We start from the raw sequence: 22,095 nt of genomic DNA, 5'->3' as shown, positions 1-22,095 counted from the left end.
CAAAGTGATTTTTTTTTTTTTTTTTGAGACAGAGTCTCGCTCTGTCGCCCAGGCTGGAGTGCAGTGGCGTGATCTCGGCTCACTGCAAGCTCCGCCTCCCGGGTTCATGCCATTCTCCTGCCTCAGCCTCCCGAGTAGCTGGGACTACAGGTGCCCGCCACCACGCCCGGCTAATTTTTTGTATTTTTAGTAGAGATGGGGTTTCACCGTGTTAGTCAGGATGGTTTTGATCTTCTGGCCTGGTGATCCACCTGCCTCAGCCTCCCAAAGTGCTGGGATTACAGGCGTGAGCCACCCCGCCCGGCCTCAAAGTGATTTTAATCTTTTTCACTTAAAGTATATGGTGTTCTGCTTTACGTATAATAGGTTATATAGGAATAACTAATGCCACTGTGAGTAACCAATAGTAAAAATGCTTATGGTAAAGCCACCTCTCTCCTCTTGCAGCCTGGTGCCTCAGACAGCTCATTTGTTCTCTTCCTGGATCTTCCTTTATCAGCTGCTCAGCTACACTGGGCTTGCCCCGGGGTTTACTCCCAGGAGGAGTGGAGGGAAGCCAAGAGGGTGAGGGCATAGATCAGACTCTTCCCAGCTGGGTAGACTCACTTTCTAAACTAAAGCATAAATTCTTTTGTAGCTGGCAGGACTGTGTTGGTCAGCAGATCCCTGGGCATTTTCTGAGCAGTGGGCAGGGGGCGAAGAGAGAATGGGCATCCAAAAATCTGTGGTTAGAGGCCTTTTGATTTTCTTCCCACAACATTTTCTTTTGCTTTCTGTGAGTAATAATACAAGTAGGATTAGCTCATCATATGGTTTGGCTCTGTGTCCCCACCCAAATCTCACCTTGAATTGCAATCCCTATAATCCCCACATGTCAAGGGTGGGACCAGGCGGAGGTCATTGAATCATGGCTAGTGAGTGAGTCTCATGAGATCTGATGGTTTTATAAGCATCTGACATTTCCCCAACTTGCACTCGTTCTCTCTCCTGCTGCCCTGTGAAGAGGTGCCTTCTGCCATGATTGTAAGTTTCCTGAGGCTTCCCTAGCCATGTGGAACTGTGTGTCAATTAAACCTCTTTTCTTTTTTTCTTTTCTTTTCTTTTTTTTTTTTTTGAGATGGAGTCTCACTCTGTTTCCCAGGCTGGAGTGCAGTGGCACAGTCTCGGCTCACTGAAACCTCCACCACCCTTGTTCAAGCAATTCTTCTGCCTCAGCCTCCCGAGTAGCTGGGATTACAGGCGCCTGCCACCACACCCAGCTAATTTTTGTATTTTTAGTAGAGATGGGGTTTCGCCATATTGGCTAGGCTGGTCTCAAACTCCTGACCTCAGGTGATCCATCGCCTTGATCTCCCAAAGTGCTGAGATTACAGGTGTGAACCACCACGCCCAGCCTGAACCTCTTCTTTCTCAATTACCCAGTCTCAGGTATTTATTTGTAACAGTGTGAGAACAGACTAATACAGCTCATTACGCTGCAGCAGTTACTGAACATCTGCTGTGAAGCCTGCAGGTAGTTTGTCATTTTTTGAAAGAAGAAACTGAAGTTCAAAGAGGTTAAAGTACCATGCTGGGATTTGAACCTAGACCCTCCGATTCCGGAGCCCAAAGGAGCTTAATTCTGAGGTTCCTTCTGTTGGCCTCTCAAAACTGATTTTGTAGTCAGGATTATAGCAGTATTATCATATTTTCCCACTTTTTTTCCTCATTAAAAAATAGAATTGATGGGGATGGGGGGCTCTTTTCCGAAAAACTGCCCACCCAGCATTTCTGTTTTTTTAATGGGAAACAAAGATAAGTAGAAAGTGTTGTTAATGCCTTTGATTATAGAATCAGTTTACAAAATGTAGAAGAAATCACAGCATTAGGGAATTAGAATTTTACAAATACCATTGTCGTAACAGATTCAGGCAAACACCAGTGGATGCTGAGAGCATTGAGTGAAAGGTTTTTGGGGAACTGGCTAGTCACACAATCTGGAAGTATCAGCCCACAGATTGCTTATTAATTAAGAGGAAAACATTTATTTACAGTGAGGAAACCTGGCAGATACCAAAATAACCAAGTCATAAAATTTGCCACCAAAAATAAAGGTACAACCCGGCCTGCACTTCCTGAAGTGACGAGCTGAGGAGGGACACGCCATCACCTTGTGGTATTCTTACTAGAAATATTTAATTTGGAGATCTAATCATTAGGAAACAGTCAAATCCAGATTGAGGGGCATGGTCAGAACATCTGGATTGGACTCTTTAAAAAGGTCAGTGTTGTGATGAATGGACCGGAAGTGACTGAGGAACTATTCTAGATCAAAGGAGACTAATGAGACATGACAGCTAAGCATGATGCCGACAGCCCCGATTGAATCCTGGACACAAAACTAAACAAGTTAAACAGCTATTAAAGTCATCACCACAGATACCTGAAAATGGACCATCTATTAAAGAACACAGGGTTAAATTTCTTGAGGATAAGTAAATGAATTGTGGCCACGTAGCTAGCCTTGTTCTTAGGAGGGACCGTGGAAGTATTTAAGAATAAAATGTCATGTGTTTGCAGTTTACTCTTAATTGGTTCAGCAAAAATAAATACATATAGAAAGGACAAAATGTTGACAAATCTAAATAAAAGGTCCATGAGTGTTCTCACAGTATTGGAACTGCTCTATGGGTTTGAAAATTCTCAGGATGAAAGTGGAAAGAATAGAATTGTTTATTAAAGTAGCCAGACTCAAGCAGTGTGGAAACAGAAGTTCCTGTTAAAGAATAACAGTGGGGGAAGTTTCTCAAGAAAATAGTTGGAAGCAGGGATCACAGATGGGCTTTCACTGGATTGCCATCTCTGACAGTTAGTACTGGCGGCCAGACGTGGAAGTGCGTGGGAGCGTGGCCGCATCCGTGACTTACTAGCAGTGTTTGCCCAGGGCCTGGGACATGGGAGTGGTGGGGCATGTCCCAAATGTGCTTTGATATTTACAGCGTTACAGTCTAATTATTCTTCACTCTTTTCAGTCACTGCCTCCTCTGACCGGCCCTTTATTGTGAAGCCTACATTTCCTTTGGCGTGAAACTGGGCCAGAGCTCCTCAGATCCTTAAAAGTCAAGTGTCTGAGGCAGCTTTAGGTCAGGGTCTTTGAGCCCTATCAGGCTTTAGGGGTGGAGTATGGGGAGAAGGCCCTTTCTCCTAGGAGGGGACTCCTATATAACTTTCGCCAGATTCTGTAAAAGATTTAAGACCTAAAACTCCAGTCCTTTGCAAGTTGGTGGCGGGCTTTCGTTCTGCTGTCCTCCTGCCCGATCGGCAGGGTCGGGCTCCTCTGCCCGGCTCTTCTCTGTGCTGGTGTAATGACGCCACCGCGAGCGGCTTCTCTTCCTAGTCCAAAAGGTTCCCCCTTTGCTCCTGAGGGCGTGTGGATTTTTGCATCAAGAGCAGGTAATTTTCTACTCTCTTTAAGAGGTGAAAGGAGCCTGATCATAGTATGTGCTCAATAAATATTGTTGAATGGATGGTTGAAATAATTACACACTTCTTTTCCCAAACAGCTTTCCCGTTGAAATTAGTTGGTGTTCTTATTTAGTGTTCTTTGAATAGAATCACATGGATTGGTTTCCTTGGCTACCTGTTCAGCTTTCCTTTCCCTACTCCTTTCCCTACTCCTTTCCTACTCCTTTTCCTACTCCTTTCCTACTCCTTTCCCTACTCCTTTCCCTACTCCTTTCCTACTCCTTTCCCTACTCCTTTCCTACTCCTTTCCTACTCCTTTCCCTACTCCTTTCCCTACTCCTTTCCCTACTCCTTTCCCTACTCCTTTCCCTACTCCTTTCCCTACTCCTTTCCCTACTCCTTCCCTACTCCTTCCCCTACTCCTTTCCTACTCCTTTCCCTACTCCTTTCCTACTCCTTTCCCTACTCCTTTCCTACTCCTTTCCCTACTCCTTTCCCTACTCCTTTCCCTACTCCTTTTCCAGCTTGAGTCTTCAAGAGGGAGCCTCAACTGATTTCTAAAACCGTTTGTACCTGGTGTGATTATAAAGCAATGAGACTGATTGTCATATGTCGTTTGTGGGATCCGTCTCAGTTACTTTATAGCCATACCTGGTATCTTATACCACAGATCATGGCCCGTTGAACAACATTTTAAGAGATTTCTAAAGGGAAATTTAAAGCGGTTTAGCATTATTTTGTGATTGTCTCTAATTTACTGATCACAACTCTTATTTCAGAAAGGTAATTAGATATTAATTAGATGTTTATTGCTTGCTTTAATTTTATAGTTTTTTGTAGATTTTTAATCGGTATTCTGGTAAACTGCTGTTCTAATAAAGTGGCTGTAACAATTTTGAGTAAGGTAGTAAAAAGGTATATGTTCCATTGGGTTACATTTTCCATAAAACTCCTTTTACTGTTGTATTTCTCTTCTTTTTTTTGAGGGTCTTGCTCTGTCACCCAGGCTGGCGTGCAGTGGCGTGATCTCAGCTCACTGCAGCCTCAACTTCCTGGACTCCAGTGATCCTCCCACCTCAGCCTCCTGAGTATCTGGGACCACAGACATGTGCCACCATGCCTAGCTAATGTTCCTGTTTTTGTGAGAGACAGGGTTTCACCATGTTGCCCAGGCTGGTCTTGGACTCCTGAGCTCAAGCAATCCACCTGCCCTGGCTTCCCAAAGTGCTGGGATTATAGGCATGAGCCACCACGCCCAGCCCTGTTGAATTTCTTTTCAGTTGCGTGTAGTCTTCTGTGACTGCATGTAACACAAAGATGGTTCTTTTAGCTAAATATGGTAAATGAAACATGTAAAACCAAATATTTCAATGTGTTATTCATTGAAGAAGGATTGAAAAGGACAAGTTTTGGGGACTTCTGCTTGATTGTTTTGTTGGTTTACATTGATATGTACAAACCTTATTCAAATTCAAATAAGTGGTTATAATTTTCTCTTTCCCAAAATAAAATATTTATTTCCCTTCTAATGACCCCTAGTCTCTCTCAGGGGCTCTCTGGAGAAGGCAAATGTAGAAGCTACATGTTGCCACCGGCAGCTTCAGCTTATGAAAGGACAATCGCTGATAGATTGATAGAAGTTTCTCTGTTTCCTTAAAAGACAGTGGGAAGTTATTTCCTTTGTGGAGGAGGAAAGGGATAGCAGTTTCCTGCTGTCCATAGGAAGAGGTATTCAATTCCTTCACTGTTACTACTTCTGGAAATTATGTAGGGGAAAGGTCTAGGTAACTATAAGGCAACTTAAGACTGTCCTCGTAATTAACTTGCATAGCCTGTGCTTGTGGGCAGACCTCTGGACAACTGTTAGAGGCTGGAGGTATTTCGATGCCAAACTGGTCCAGAATGTTGAAGCCTGGACCTGTCTCTGGAACGTTTGATTTCCAGAAGAGTTCTGGGGTAAACTAGCAAGGAGCCTCAACTCCACTCAAGTCTGGACATAAGACCCAAGTTAGTTTCAGATGTCACTAATAAAAGGTGGCACCATTTGGCACTTTGTAGCTCTGTTACCAGCTGTGTGTCCCCTGTCTCAGTGAGATTAGAAAGCTTGGTATCCTGTACTTGTTTTTGTTCCTGGCACTAGTTCTACAGACAGTGGGTACTCCATGAATGTTCCTAGATTAGTGCAAGAAGTACCAATTTATGCTATAAAAACAGCACTTTACTCCATTTCTTAAGGAATTAAGACTTTCTGAAGATCATTTTAAAATAGAAAAGGTTTTACAGTGTAAATCTACCATGATGTTGATACACTTCTCTTGCTGTATAATGTTATGTTGCTGTCTGTTGTCACATTTGGCTGGTTTAATAATCTTTTTTTAAAAATGTAGTTGTCAGACAAGTTAATATGGTTCTTAACACTGCAGTCGTTCTATGCCTTATGTCTGTTTAAGTCTTAAGTACCACACAACAAATTACATGTTCCTACTTGGTGCCAGCATACCCAGCTGCATCTACATTTCAGTTGAGAAGTGGAGTTTGCATACCCTTTCCATTACCAGACATTATAGTAGTTACCTAAGTAGCGTGTTGATACATTTGATGTTTCCATAAGTTTTAAATGTCACTTGAGTTATATATTTATTTTATATTGCAGGCACTGGAGATATTATTGCTGTCATGATAACAGAATTGAGGGGTAAGGATATTTTGAGTTATCTGGAGAAAAACATCTCTGTACAAATGACAATAGCTGTTGGAACTCGAATGCCACCGAAGAACTTCAGCCGTGGCTCTCTAGTCTTCGTGTCAATATCCTTTATTGTTTTGATGATTATTTCTTCAGCATGGCTCATATTCTACTTCATTCAGAAGATCAGGTACACAAATGCACGCGACAGGAACCAGGTGAGCTCAGTACTCAACAGTGATTGGTTCGTAACAGCCAGAGTTCACAGTCATCTGTCGTGACCATGCATCTTACTAACATGTTTTTTCTTTTAAAAAATGTTGTTACCCTCACTCAGTCATTTTAATATGTTGGAAACGTCTACATGAGTATTTAAGGGATATTTAAAATAACCTAAAAGGTACTAAATTTATTGTGATCACCTAGAATATTCTAGTCAGGTAGATAGCTTGATATCATAGTATTATCTAGATAATTCTGTTAATTTGGAGAAATAGCACAAAGTTGCATTTTTAAACCAGTAACTTTGGATGTTTCTGCAAATGGGAACTTGGAGGGGGGTTAGGGAGACTTCACTCTTCCCCTTCCTATGTGAAATTCTTTCCCATGTGAATTTTGAACTGGGAAAGTATTATCTATTCAGAAAATGAAATCAATGAAAAACCTCTGTCATCTAAGCTCAGACATGGGGTAAGGGTGAGTGGGGGAAGACCAATAGAAGATGTCTGTCTATGTAGTCATCCTAGGAGTTCCACTGACAGCGCATCTATTTTGGTTGAGTGAATAAACCTAGGAAAAGCAGTGTGCTTCCCCGGTGTGAGGGCCTGGAGATGGTGGCCCTCAGTTGGTGACTGAGTTTGATTGATGTGCTGTGGACAGAATACACACCCTAGGTGCCAGGTTCCAGGTGTTAGGTCCCTCTCCTAGACTTTTTGTGTAGAAAACTAAGAAGTGACTTGCTTGGAGAGTGATTTGAAGCCAGTTTTTGTATAACGCTGTCTTCTCCTAACATGGTACATTCAAATTCCTGTGGGGATGGGCACACTGGGATTTTTATCCTTCCTCTTTCTAGCGGAAAAAGCGCAGACTTTGGCATGGAACAGGTCTCAGCTCACATCCCTCCTGCACCACCAGTTCACCATGACCCCTCACCCTGTTGGACAGTTTCTTGAGCATCTCAGCTTCTTTCTCATCTGAAAGTAGATATAAAACACCCAAACGCTGACTGTGAAAGTAGATATAAAATACCCAAACGCTGACTGTGGAAGTACATATAAAATACCCAAACACTGACTGCAGTTTATTGAAGCTTTCTGTGCCAGGCTCTCCCTGTGCACTTTTAATTTTTTTTATTTTGAAAATTTTTATATTTGTAATTTTAGACTTAACAAAAAATTTGTAAGATAAGTGGCAAGTATTCCCTTCACTCAGATGCTACAGCTGTTAATGTTTTACTGTATTTCCTTTTCTATGTAACTATACTTTTTTAATTTAAAAAACTTTTTTTTTTTTAAGAGACAGGGTCTTGCCCTGTCACCCAGGCTGGAGTGTGGTGGCAGTCATGGCTCACTGCAGCCTCCAGCTCCTGGGCTGAAGCTATCCTCTGGCCTCAATCTTCTGAGTAGCTAGGACTGAAGGTATGCACCACCATGACTGGCTAATTTTTTAATTTTTTTGCACAGGCCAGGTCTTGCAGTGTTGGCCAGGCTGGTCTCAAACTCTTGGGCTCAAAGGATCCGCCCACCTTGGCCTCCCAAAGTGTCAGGATTATGGGTGTGAACACCACCCTCAACCTTTGTATATATACCTTAACAAAACTATTTGAGAGTAAGTTTGAGATATGATGCCCTGTTACCCTTAAATACTTTGTTATATATTTTATAAAAACAAGAACATTCTCTTACATAACCATAGTGTGGTTATCAAAATCAGTAAATTAACATTGATATAATACATTATCTGATTGATAGACCTTTTTTGGGTTTTGTAAAACTGGCTCAATAATGACCTTTATAGCAAAGAAAATCCTGGATTGATTGGAGCTCATTGGATTTTGCATTCAGTTGTCTCTTCTTACTTGGTTTTATGACATGGACGTTTCTGAAAAGTACAGATCAATTATTTTGTATTTGAGTTTATCCGACGTGTTGTGTTCCTTCGTGATTAGTTTCAGGTTATATGCGTTTTGTGAAAATGTAGATTTGCTTGCATTTGTAAGAGATAATACAAATACAAAGATGTCTCTTATCCCCTTCACTCATTTCTCCTTGTGGTAACAACATGTATAACTGTGGTCAGTATCATAACCTGGAAATTGGCATGGATGCAATCCACTGATCTTCCTAAATACACTGAAATCTCCCCACCTCTCCAGTTTAATGTGTACTTATTTGTGTATGTGTGTGTCTGTCTTTAGTCTGTGTAGTTTTATCGCATGTGTAGATTCACATGACCAACAACACGGTCAGGATACAGACCAGTTCCATCACAAGGAACCCTTGTGCTACTCTTTTATAACCACAGCCACCTCCCTCCTTCCCCCTTCCCTAATCTACCAGGAATCTGTTTCTCATCTCTATAGTTTTGTCATTTCAAGAATGTTAAATAGGTGGAATCATGGGCCAGGCACGGTGGCTCACACCTGTAATCCCGGCACTTTGGGAAGCCAAGGCAGGTGGATCACTTGAGGTCAGGAGTTCAAGACCAGCCTGGCCAACATGGCAAACCCCATCTCCACTAAAAATACAAAAATGTAGCTGGGCAAGGTGCCATGCGCCTGTAGTCCCATCCATTCAGGAGGCTGAAGCACGAGAATTGCTTGAACTTGGGAGGCAGAGGCTGCAGTGAGCCATGATCGTACCACTGCACTCCAGCCTGGGTGACAGAGTGAGACTCTGTTTCAAAAAAATAAAGAAAAAAATGTTATATAGGTGGAATCATATAGTATGTAACCTCTAGAGTTTGGAATTCTTCACTTCCTCACTCAGCATAATTACCTTGAGATACTTTTTTTTTTTTTTTTTTTTTTTTTTTTGAGATGTAGTCTCACTGTCGCCGAGGCTGGAGTGCAGCGGCTGGATCTCAGCTTACTGCAAGCTCCGCCTCCCAGGTTCACGCCATTCTCCTGCCTCAGCCTCCGGAGTAGCTGGGACTACAGGTGCCTGCCACCGTGCCTGGCTAATTTTTTGTATTTTTAGTAGAGATGGGGTTTCACCGTGTTAGCCAGGATGGTCTCGATCTCCTGACCTTGTGATCCGCCCACCTCAGCCTCCCAAAGTGCTGGGATTACAGGCGTGAGCCACTGCGCCCGGCCAAGATACTTTCAAGTTGTTATGTGTATCAGTCATTTATTCCTTTTTATGGCCGAACTATATCCCATGGTTTGGATGTACCACCGTTTGTTTAATTGCTCGCTCATTGAAGGATATCTGGGATGTTTTCAGATTTTGGCTATTACAAATAAAGCAGCTGTGAACAATCACATACAGGTTTTGGTGTAAACATGAGTTTTCGTTTCCCTGGGATAAATGTGTAATTTCTGAGTTCAGTGTAAATTCCAAGAGTGAAGTTTTTGGGCTGTTAAGATAAGTGCATATTTAGTTCTGTAGGAAACTGTTAGACTCATTTTGCAAAGTGGCCATACCATTTTGCATTCCTGCTAGAAATGTATGACTGATCCAGTTCCTCCACACTCTCGACAGCACTTGGTGTTTTCATCTCTTGTGATTGTTGAGTTGTGTAGTAACATCTCTTGTGGTTTTAGTTTGCATTTCTCTAATTAGACATTTTTTATGTGCTTGTTTGCCATCCGTATATCCTCTTCAGTGAAATATCCATTCATGTCTTTTGCCCATTTTCTACCTAGATTGTTTTTCACTGTTGAATTTTGAGAGCTTTTTATGTATTCCAGATACAAGTCCTTCGTCAAATATGTGGCTTGCAGAGATTATCTCCCAGTCTGTATTTTGTTTTGTTCAACCTCTTAACAAGGTCTTTGAAAAGCAAAAATTTCTAATTTTTATGGTTTATTAATTTTTTCTTTTATGAATTGTGCTTTTGGTGTCAAGTCTAAAAATTCTTTACTTATCCCTAGATATCCCAAAGATTTTCTACTATTTTTCCTGGAAGTTTTATATTATGTTTTACATTTAAGTCTGTGATTAGTTTATTTGAAGGCTTTCCTGTTTTCTAATGTAAGAATTAAGTGCTATAAATTTCTCTCTCAGCACTTCTTTAAGGCTATGCCTCACATATTTTGATATGCTGTATTTTCATTTTCATTCAGTCCTATGTATTTTTTTCTTTTGAGACTTCTTCTTTTACCCATACATTACTGAGAAGTATGTTATTGAATTTCCAGTAGTTTAGATATTTTACTTTTTTTTTTTTCCTTTTGAGAGAGGGTCTTACTCTGTCACCCAGGCTGGAGTGCAGTGATACGATCTCAGCTCACTGCAACCTCCACCTCCCGGGTTCAAGTGATTCTCTGACCTCTGCCTCCCGAGTAGCTGCGATTACAGGCGCATGCCACCGTGTCCGGCTAACTTGTATTTTTTGGTAGAGATGAGGTTTCACTGTGTTGCCCAGGCTGGTCTTGAACTCCTGACCTCAAGCGATCTGTGCACCTCAGCCTCCCAAAGTGCTGGGATTACAGACATGAGCCACTGTGTCCTGCCAAGATTTTACTATTATCTTAGTGTTACTGATTTCTGGTTTGATTCCATTATGCTCAGAGAAATACTCTATGATTTCAGTTCTCTTCTGTTTCTTGAAGTTTGTTTTATGATGTAGGATGTAGTTTGTCTTAGTCAGTGTTTCATTGGTGCTTAGAAAAAATATTCTGCTGTTGGGTGGCATGTTCTCTGGGTGTTAATTAGACCAGTGGGCACAGCTTTTCTTCCTGAGGAGCCGGGCTGGGAGAGCCTATTCCCACTGGGCTCTGTGAGACCAGGGTGGGAGGAGGATTGTGATTTTGCCCTTGGCGCCTGGCTGGAGTAGAATGAATATTACTGCAAGTGTTTTCTGATGTTAGGCCATCCTTCTCTTGGTACTTTGGCTAGCGGAGTTGGGCTTTTCTCGGCTTTTTCTGGGGTCGGGTGGTGGGCTGCTCTGGTCCTGTTGGCTGTTCCAGGTTGGAGGCTTCTGCAGCACATTGTCAGGAATCTATGGGGGAAGTAAGGAAGCTTGGAAGCCACCACCCGTTTCTCATGTCTTGAGGGCCCCAGGCAGCCCACCTCCTTTTCCCTCCTATAACATGTAATATACCTGTTAAAAAAAAAAAAAAAAAAAACTAAAAGATTTGTTTTTAAAATATGTTGACATACGAAACACTGAAAGTAAAATGAGAAGGAGCTGCTCTGGAGTGGTGTTGTTGACAGGCAAGCCTGTGTTAGTGGACTGGGTGTAGCTCACCCTGAGGACGTTGGAACAAAGGCTCACGGTTGTCCCAGGAGCCTGCTATTGGAAGATAGTGCTTTAATTAGCACCCAGTGTGGGGCCGGGGCTGATGAAGGAGGAAACATAATCACCATCTGGTGCAGGCCACAAACTGCGAGCTTGTTTCCTAGCATTTATTTTGCGGCTGACTGCATGCAGGATCCTTCCAAAGCGTCTCTCCAGATGCTACTGTGGTGGAAAGTGATGTTCTGACCTTTTTTCCTCCTTCCGTTTTCCCCAAGGTTGACAAATGCTTGATGAAATTTTTATGTGGCTTAAAAAGCTTAGCTTATTAAAGTTTAATAAGAAGGTGGCAGCAGCTAGACTGGTTGAAACCTTTGGCTATTTTAAAAGAGAAGCCATAATATTAGCAAAGGAAAACCAGTGAGTTTAAGGACAGACTCTGATTTTCTCTCACAAACTGTTTTTGTTTTTGTTTTTTGAGACTGGGTCTCACTCTGTCACCCAGGCTGGAGTGCAGTGGCGCGATCTTGGCTCACTGCAACCTCTGCCTCCTCGGCTTAAGCAATTCTCCTGCCTCAGCCTCACACGTAGCTGGGACTAAAGATGTGTGTCACCATGCCTGGCTAATTTTTGTATTTTTAGTAGAGATGGGATTTCACCATGTTGGCCAGGCTGGTCTCAAACTCCTTACCTCATGTGATCCTCCTGCCTCAGCCTCCCAAAGTGCTGGAATGACAGGCATGAACCTCCACACCTGGCCCCCACAAACTGTTATCATGAAGCAGTTCTTCCTGTAGAACATGCTACCAAAGAGATCCATATATTGTAAATAACTTTCTAAGCATAGTAAAATGCTCACAATTGAGAACATTTTGCATGTGATATAAGAATCTAATGCTTTGGCTTTTCAGTTCATGACTAAGTGTCTGTGGTTTGCTCTTCCTGGAAAACTGTCAGAATGTATCTAATTACTATCTATAGGTGTAGATAGTTCAAACTACCACTGATGGTAAACTTAAATGTCGCTGTCAAATTAAGTCACTGATAGTTATTTTACACAAAACGGTAGATGTTTGTTACCTTTATTTTGAATAAATGCTTAAGGATTTTCTGAAAAATGTAAAATGTTTAACAGTTACATGGTTAATATTGCACCTTTAATTTCAAAGTGGTCAAATTTAATTTCTAAAGCAGAACAATGAAATTTTCATTTTACTGTTTAGGAACGGGGCAGATGTAAAATATTCTGCCACTTAATGGACTCCTGAATATTTAGAATGTATTCTTAAAACTTCCCAGTGAAAATGCATGTGCTTTTTAAGGTATTTAAAATTTGTAAAAGCTTCTTGCCATAACATGTGTATATAATATTCTTTGACTTTATAAGTATCTCAGGGTTGCTGAAATGAAATACACTCTTATTGCCCATTTTCATCATGAAAGGTCAGTAGCTAATTGGAGAATGCATTTGCCTGTCAGAATGTGGAAATATATGGAACATTCCTGTGTCAGAGAAAGGTTAAAACTTTGCATGAGTACAGTTAATCTTTGAAAACTGGTGGGTTCAAAAGGTTTTTTTTTTTCTTCCACATTGGAAGAGAGGAAGTATTGTATATACTGCCAAGATTTGTCCTACAGAAAAGGATTATATGGCCCCAAAACAGACTTCTTTTGTCATTTTAGATGGCAGAGTGAATTTTGTTCATTATGTTTCTTAAGGATTAACAATTCCAGAAGAACTGGAAAGGGGAAATAGATGTTTGAGCTGAGAAGTTATTATCTTACCAGTTTTAAAAAAATACTGCAAATACTCTGATACCTTGTTTTTCATGTCCTGCCATTTTGTAAATAAATAACACTTTTCATATACAGAGACTGTATTATATACCTTCTAAATATTACATGTCAGGGGCTTAAGATCTGATTTTTTTAAAGCACAAAATATGCTCTTAAGATCATAGTGTTTGCAAGATAATTCATTTCTATATCCTTGGGGTTTAGCATGGGGCCTGGCACATCACACTGCCTCAGTAAATATTTCAATGAATTCAAGAATGAGCTTACCTTCTGTTGCAATGACAGATGCAGTCAAAATACTGTGTGGTATAGGAGTTATTCTTTGGGGGCAGAGTGATATTACTCTCAGGGAGTCAAGGACACTTCACAGAGAAGGTAGGTTGTGACCTTGGAGCTGAATTTTAAAGGATGAATTAAGACTTCATCAGATGGAGATGAAGGAGAGTCAGGCAAATGGATCATTTTCCACAGAGAGATGAAAGAGTTGAATGACTGAAACATCAGGAATAGTGGGCAGGAGACTTGTGAGTGTTGAGCTGATATTAGATGAATAAATTGTCACTAGACTATGAAGGGCATGAATCACATAAGAAAGTTAGGCTTTATTCTATAATCAATATGGTTTCTGTTGGTGTTGTTGTTGTTGTTTTTCTGAGACAGAGGCTTGTTCTGTCGCCCAGGCTGGAGTACAGTGGCTCGATTAACAGCTCACTGCAAGCTCCGCCTCCCAGGTTCAGACCATTCTCCTGCCTCAGCCTCCTGAGTAGCTGGAATTACAGGTGCCCACCACCAGGCCCGACTAATTTTTGTATTTTTAGTAGAGACGGGGTTTCGCCATGTTGGCCAGGCTGGTTTCAAACTCCTGACCATAGGTGATCCACCCGCCTCGGCCTCCCAAAGTGCTGGGATTACAGGCACGAGCCACCACGCCGGGCCATCAGTACGGTTTTTTAGCAGTGGAGTGATATACAATTCTTTTCTGGTGCGAGAGACTTAGGGAGAAGGAGCTATGAAAAGAGGAAATATTGAAGAGCAAAGGAAGATGATATTAATAAAATAAGGTTATGTAGAGAGGAGAGGAGTGATCTGGGCACAGGCAGATGGTGTCTTGCAAAAGAGTTAACAGAGGCTTCTTTTGAGAAAAAAAAATGGGAAAAAATGGTGGTGAATGAATGAAGGAGGGTGCAGACTACAAGGCACTTTGCATTGGGGAAAGATTTTATACCTAGATTTCACCAGTGTTTACAAAAAGAAAACCCTACTCTGTGCAGATACAGACTTACTCTAATTCTGTGAGAGAGTTCTGATTGCCGAATGGCAAAACCTGAGATGAATTTCATCAAAGTGACCTATCCTCAATATACTCTGAACCATTTGGCTTTGAACCAACTATTCCTATTAGATTAAGCCGTAAGAATTGTTTTAACTTGTTTTCTGCCAATTCAAACATTTTGTCACTTTGCTTTCAAATATAGAATGGTGTTTATTGTTGCAGCTTTGACCAGATGAGATAAGATAATCTGGCCCCTAACAAACCCCTCAAGCTGTATGCTATAGAAAGTCTTTTCAGCATTTTATAGTGGAGGAAGAACTGAAGTGGAAAGGAGATCTATGGTCCTAGTCCGAATACTTTTAGTAACTTCAGACAGATCTCCTCATCTCTTTCTGGGGCTTGGTTTTTCTCCTTTGTAAAATGATGCCTTTCTGTGGTTTTGTCATTTCTAACATTCTGTGTGTGATGAGGTGTAAATTTGAGGAGTTTTATTATTAAAGGAATAGGGCACAGTGTGAAGTACGGAGAATATCAGTGAGTGGGTAGCGTATTACGGGAAAATGCTTTGAAACCAGGGTTTGTACTTCATTTAGTGAGTCTCAAACTTTAGTATACAAAAGAATCATGTGAGAGCTCCTTTTAGGGGCTGGAGCACTTTTTAAAATTGCAAATTTCCAAGATCGTTCCTCCCCTTAATTCAGCAAGTCTGGATAGGGCCTACTTACTAGCCTTTGATGTGGGCAAATTATTTAATCTCTGCCTCAATCTCCTCTTCTGTAAAATGGGATATTATAGTTCTTTTCTCATAAAATGATTGTGACGATAACACGAGTCAGTACTTGTGAAGGGCTTAGAACAGTACCTAGCACATGGTATGTACCGAATAAACCTTAGTTAGTATAGATTTTATTATTATATATTACTAAGCATTCAAGGTAGATTTAATGCATCTGCCCCATGGACCACACCTTGAAAAACAGTGACTTAATGGCATGGTGTTTAGGTGAAGGTAAGAGACTTTAATAAAAAGTGATCTTCATGGAAGAATTTTGTACCTCATCGTAGGTACTTGAGAGTTAGCCGGATGCAAATAGACTTAGAATGAAAAATTTTAAAAAAATAGTGGCTTTTAGACAGATTCCAGGAAGAGATCAAATTGTACACACATACATAGACACTTATACCTGTCACAGGTTTACCTGTCGCAAAGTGATGGGAAATGTTAAAGGACTGATTAAAAACTCAAAGGATAATTCAGAAGAAGGTAGTAATACTGAAGCCAAGTCCAAAGAAAAATTACAGTGAAGGTATTGACATTAATACCTAACACAGAGAAGAGATATTTTGTCCTTGTGCTATAAGAGGTGTTCAAAGTTCAGAGGTGGAAAATATGATCTACCTAAATATTTGTAGGTCTCTGATTAGATAACCTACATGCATTCACGTCAGCTTGCTGAAGACTGGACTGCTTCCACCAGCACCTGCTCTCTGCTTTTGGCTATTCCATAATGCAGTGTGATGGCAGGCGCTCTCACACGGCTCATCACCGAGCCAGAAGTCTGGGGGCACCTCTCCTCAAACCCCCCTCTTCGTGCCTCCATGTCAGTCATGAGGTTCTGTCGGTTTTACCTGCTAAATCTTTCTTGACTTTGCGCTCTTCTTTCTTTACCTACTGCTGCTTGCCTAATTCAGGCCCTTCTTGTCTCTGAAATATTAGAGACCCTACCTGGACATCCTGTGGAGGCAAGATTTTAATTCTCCAAGCCTCAAATAGCATCAGGAACTTTTCTGTTCAGAACTCTTTGGTAGAATTCTGATCTGAACAGAATGGAAGCAATGAGATTCTTGTAAAATCTCCTCAAATTCCTTAATAATAATAATAATAACAACCCAGATCTGAGTTACCTTAGGAAAATGACCCATTAGAAATCCTTAGAACTTGTCCTCCTTGCAAAAAAAGCCTGAACAATAAATAAACAACTTAATGAAAATAACAGAGGGAGAGTACAGGGGTGCATCCGAGGAATGACAGAAGCTCTGGAGAGCACAGACGTTTGAGATAGCCACATAGAGATGGGAAGGAAACACTGGGCCTCCACTGTCCCATCCTCTAACCAGGATCAGCTGGGAACCAGGAAGAGCTCACTGTGGTGAGGAGGTAAGTGAGAGGATCCCAGCAGCCCCTTCAACACTGTGGATACCTACAGACCTCACCACCAGGGTTCCCACCAGTCCTCACAGGCACTAAGCCCAGCTGAGTCCACCCGGCTATGCACCCCACAGAGAAGGAGCTGACACTGTGCCTCAATCCCTGTGGCCCACACAGCTGCTGTGCTATACCATCTTGGAATTGGAGCTGTGACTGAAGTGTGTCTTGCTCCAGGGGTGAGTAGTCATGGCTCCCCTTTGTCCCTAAGGCTAAGCTGCCACCAAACCACCCCAGCACAGTGGCCCCACATCTCCAGGCTGAGCTGGGAGCAACTGTTGGCTCTGTTCCTCGGGGGCCAGCAGAGATGGAGCTGCTCCACCTGTTCTTCCCCCAGCTGCTTTGGACTGGAGCTGAAGCAGTATCCTGCCTTTTGGGAAAACAGTACCTTGAACACTCAGAGCAATCATGCCTCCCCAGTGTCTCAGTTGAAGCAGCGCCACGCCTCCCAGGAAGTGGTGCATTGGCCATCCAGAGTGATCACACATCCCAGTACCTAAGCTGAAGCAGCTCCCAGCATCACAGGGAAATGGTGCCTGGCCCACCCAAAAGAGTATGCTCCCTGGGCCTGAGCTGAAGCAGCACATTATCCTTTGGGGAGTTGGTGCCTTGGCCAGACTGAGCAGTTGTGCATGCCAGGGATGAGCTGATATAGTACACCATGTCCCAGAGAAATAGAGCGGTGACTGAGCTGAGACACCTTGCCCTTACAGGCCGTAGAACTCTAGTACCCTGCTTGCTTGAACCTGTACTAGTCTTCAAGAAGCTCAGCTGCTTAGATAACCTTCCTCTTGGAGAGTGGAATTATCACTGTGCTATCCTCCCCTCCCATGCTGGGTCCACACAACAGCTCTGCTCCCCTAAGCTAGGATACTTGCTGTCATTGCACTGGACTTCACAGATCTAAGATACTGCTGAGCCCTGCCATCCCAGGGTCTATAGTCAATACTGTATGGTGCTTCATTCCATGGGACCTAAGTTGCCACTGAGCCCTGCTGACTCATGTTCCTGAATTGCAGCCAGACCCTTGACCCAAACTTCCAGAATGCCCCTTCTACCTAGTCAGGCCAGTGTTATGCCCTAATTCCCAGGGATAGAATCACAGCTACAAAGTAGACTCTTAGGTCCAAGCTACCAGTGGGTACCTGACAGTCACAGATCCTGACCATGTGGGTAACATATCCCACTTTGCCACAGGTGCCACAAATACATTTGTGAGACTCTGAGCCTAGGACATGGTCCCATTGTCATTCTGAGCACCTGCTCCTGGAATCCAGTGCTGCTGCAGCTGCTTGTGGGTAACATCAGACCTCACACCAAGAGGGATCACTTTGGCTAAGTCTCCTCATTGTGGGGAAAGCAAGAATAGTAGGTCCCCAAAGGCCTTTGAAAGGATAACAGCCTACACCACTGCAGCAGACATCCACAGCTTATACCACTGAGGCACCCATGGTTATTGCTGATGTTGAATTCAGCTGAAACTGCACAGAGACTGTACCACTGCACCTATCCAGAAATAGTCACCACACCCTTCCCAACTGGCACACTAAGATTAAACTGTAGGCGAAAATCTTTGTCCAGGAGAGCCACTCTAGAAAATTTGAAAGAAGTGATTGTTCCACCAGATGCACAGACATCAACACAGGGACGTGAGAAACATGAAATAAGGAAGTAGGACACCATCAAAGGAACGTAATTCCCTAGTAACACACTCCAATGGGAAAAAACTTAATGAATTGCCAGAAAAGGAATTCAAAATTATGATCGTATGGAAACTCAGAGAGATACAAGAAAACGTGTAGACAATCAATAGAGTTGGGGAAACAGTTCACAATATAAACAGGAAATTGAATAAAAGAGAAGTAAGAATCAAATCCTGCAGCTGAAGAATTCAATGAATGAAAAAACATACAGTGGAGAATTTCAGCAGCAAACTTGATCATATGTAAGAAAGAATCTCTCAACTTGAAGATAGGTTATTTGAAATTAACAAGTCAGAGACAAAAAAAAAGAAATAAGAATGAAAAATAATGAAGAACGCCTACAAAACTTATGGAACATTAGGCAAACAAATATTTGTATTATGGGTGTTCCAGAAGGAGAGAAGGGGAAAGGCATTAAAAAATCTATGTGATAAAATCTGAAAACTTCCCAAGTCTACGGAGATATATGGACAACAGATCCAGGTAGCCCAGTGGTTCCTAAATAAGAGTAAATCTGAAAACATCCTCCCCGTGTCACATTACAGTCAAATTGTCGAGAGTGAAAGAGTTCACAAAACAGCAAGAGAACAGCATCAAGTCACATAAGAGAATCCCTATTAGACTAAAAACAGATTTTTCCAGAGAAATCTTACAGCCTAGGAGAGAATGGAATGATAGAATTAAAGTGCTTAAAGCAGAAAATTGCCAGCCAAGAAAGAATACTGTGTCCATCAAAGCCATCCTTCAGAAATGGGGGTGAAATAGTCTTTCCTAGACAAAAATTGAGAAAGTTATACATCTTGAGAGAGTTTTACATTTTGAAAAGACAGTATTCACTACCAGGAAAACATGCAGGAGTATGAAAGTCACTGGTAGAGAGCAGATACACAAAGGAGAAAGAGAAGGGAATCAAATCTTAGCACTACAGTAAACCGCCAAACCTTAATGATAAACAATAGGAGAGAACAAAAATAACAAAGGATATATAAAACAACCAGAGGCAATTAAAAATTGATAGGAATAAGTCCTCACCTACCAGTAATAACCTTGAATGTAAGCAGATTAAATTTCACCACTTAAAAGACATAAACTGGTGAAATGAAATTTTTAAAAACCGTGACACAATTATATGCTACCTACAAGAAACTCACTTCACTTCTTTTTTTTCTTTTTTCCTTTTTTTGAGACGGAGTCTCGCTTGCTCGCCTAGGCTGGAGTGCAGTGGTGCAATCTTGGCTCACTGCAACCTTCGCCTCCCGGGTTCAAACAACTCTCCTGCCTCAGCCTCCTGAATAGATTACAGGTGCCTACCACCAAGCCCGGCTAATTTTTGTATTTTTAGTAGAGACAGGGTTTCACCGTGTTGGCCAGGCTGATCTCGAAATCCTGACCTCAGGTGATCCGCCCGTCTTGGTTTCCCAAAGTGCTGGGATTACAGGCGTAAGCCACCATGGCCGGCCAACTCACTTCACTTCTAAAGGCACATATAGGCTAAAAATGAAGGGGTGCAAAAAAGATATTCCATGCAAAGGGAAATAAAAACTAAGCAGGAGTGGCTGTACTTGTATCAGATAAAACAGGCCAGGCGTGGTGGCTCACGCTTGTAATCCCAGCACTTCGGGAGGCCGAGGCAGGTGATCACTTGAGGCCAGGAGTTTGAGACCAGCCTGGCCAACATGGTGAAACCCTGTCTCTACTAAAAATACAAAAATCAGCCCGGCATGGTGATACACACCTGTAATCCCAGCTACTCGGGAGTCTGAGGCAGAGAATCGCTTGAACCTGCAAGGCAGAGGCTGCAGTGAGTTGAGATCACACCACTGCACTCCAGCCTGGGTGACAAAGCGATATTCCATCTCAAAAAAAGAAAAAATAATAACAAAATAAAATAAAATATTGAAAAATAAAAGACAAAGAAGATCATAATATAATGATAAAGAGATCAGTTCAGCAAGAGGATATAATCATTGTAAATATATATACACCCAACACTGGAGCACTCAGATATATAAAACATATATATATATATATATATATATAAAAAATACTAGATCTAAAGAGAGAGATAAACTCTAATACAGTAATAGTTGGGGAATTCAACACCCCACTCTTAGCATTAGACAGATCATCTAGACAGAAAATAAAGAAACATTGGGTTTAAACTGCACTTTAGACCAAATGGAAGTAACACATTTACAATATATTTCATCCAACAGCTGCAAAACACACATTGTTTTCATCACCAGTAGAATATTCTTCAAGATTGGCCACATGTTAAGCCACAAAACAAGATTTGATATCAGCTAGGCACAGTTTTGCTTGCATGTAGTCCCAGCTACTTGGGAAGGTGAGGCAGAAAGGATCTCATGAGTCCAAGAGTTCAAGACCAGCCTGGGCAATATAGTGAGATGGCGTTTCTTAGTTTTAAGAACTTTTTAAAAATTAAAATCATACAAAGGATCTTTTCTGACCACAAATGAAATAAAGATAGAAATCAGTAACAATAGAAACTTTTGGAATTGTACAAATACATGGAAATTTACAAACGTGCTCCTAAACAACCAGTGGGTCAATGAGTAAATTAGGAAGGAGACTTTAAAATTTCTTCAGTAAAATGAAAAGAAAATACCAAAACCTATGGGATACAGCAAAAGCAGTTTGAAGAAGGAAGTTCATAGCAATTAACACCTACATCAAAACAATAGAGATTTGCAATAAACAATCTAATGAAGCATCTCAAGGAACTATAAAAGCAAAAACAGGCCAAGCACAGTGGCTCACGCCTCTAATCGCAGCACTTTGGGAGGCCAAGGTGGCGGATCACGAGGTCAAGAGATCAAGACCATCCTGGCCAACATGGTGAAACCCCGTCTCTACTAAAAATACAAAAATTACCTGGGTGTGGTGGCGCGCACCTGTAGTCTCAGCTACTCGGGAGGCTGAGGCAGGAGAATTGCTTGAACCCAGGAGGCAAAGGTTGCAGTGAGCCGAGATCACACCACTGTACTCCAGTCTGGTGACAGAGCAAGACTCTGTCTCAAAAAACAAGTGAAAACAAAGCAAACCCAAAGTCAGAAGAAGCAAAAAAAAATAATGAAGTTCAAATCAGGAATAAGTGAAATCAAGACTAAAGGGCCAGGCATGGTGGCTCATGCTTATAATCCCAGCACTTTGGGAGGCCAAGGTAGACTGATTGCTTGAGTCCAGGAGTTCAAGACTAGCCTGGGTAACATGGCAAAACCCCATCTCTACAAATAAAAATACAAACATAAGGCCACTCGCGGTGGCTCACACCTGTAATCCCAGCACTTTGGGAGACCGAAGCAGGCAGATCACGAGGTCAGGAGATCAAGACCATCCTGGCTAACACGGTGAAACCCCGTCTCTACTAAAAATAATAATAAATAAATTAGCCGGGTGTGGTGGTGGGAGTCTGTAGTCCCAGCTACTCGGGAGGCTGAGGCAGGAGAATGGCTTGAACCTGGGAGGCGGAGGTTGCAGTGAGCCGAGATTGCGCCAGTGCGCTCCAGCCTGGGTGACAGAGCGAGACTCCATCTCAAAAAAATATAATATAAATAAATAAATA

The 22,095-nt window shown here is 41.9% G+C and overlaps 1 protein-coding gene and 1 non-coding gene across 4 annotated transcripts in view, besides 2 other annotated features; both read left to right on the top strand.

Moving 5' to 3' along the window:
• Positions 1-22,095, top strand: part of RNF130 (ring finger protein 130) — a 160,109-nt gene that overhangs the window by 52,351 nt on the left and 85,663 nt on the right. For all 3 annotated transcript variants that reach the window (NM_001410829.1, NM_001280801.2, NM_018434.6), the window contains exon 3: positions 6,098-6,348. In NM_001410829.1, the coding sequence (NP_001397758.1) occupies positions 6,098-6,348 (251 nt within the window). The remainder of the gene's footprint in view (positions 1-6,097; positions 6,349-22,095) is intronic.
• On the top strand, positions 4,012-4,106 carry MIR340 (microRNA 340). Its single transcript, NR_029885.1, has one exon. It is a non-coding gene; the product is annotated as a microRNA 340 (primary transcript).
• Positions 11,358-11,859: an enhancer, noted in NCBI's record as "NANOG hESC enhancer chr5:179434550-179435051 (GRCh37/hg19 assembly coordinates)". NCBI's record gives its function as "activates a minimal SCP1, AML or CMV promoter by ChIP-STARR-seq in naive H9 embryonic stem cells {active_cell/tissue: H9 hESC(naive)}" and the evidence as "EXISTENCE:reporter gene assay evidence [ECO:0000049][PMID:30033119]".
• Positions 17,498-17,705: a silencer, noted in NCBI's record as "fragment chr5:179428704-179428911 (GRCh37/hg19 assembly coordinates)". NCBI's record gives its function as "represses an EF-1alpha promoter that drives an FKBP-Casp9 reporter gene in an ReSE screen in K562 erythroleukemia cells {active_cell/tissue: K562}" and the evidence as "EXISTENCE:reporter gene assay evidence [ECO:0000049][PMID:32094911]".

The sequence above is a fragment of the Homo sapiens genome, chromosome 5 (genome assembly GCF_000001405.40).
Source record: "Homo sapiens chromosome 5, GRCh38.p14 Primary Assembly".
In the NCBI taxonomy this organism is placed as follows: Eukaryota; Metazoa; Chordata; class Mammalia; order Primates; family Hominidae; genus Homo; species Homo sapiens.
This window is presented reverse-complemented; position numbering and strand designations above follow the sequence as displayed.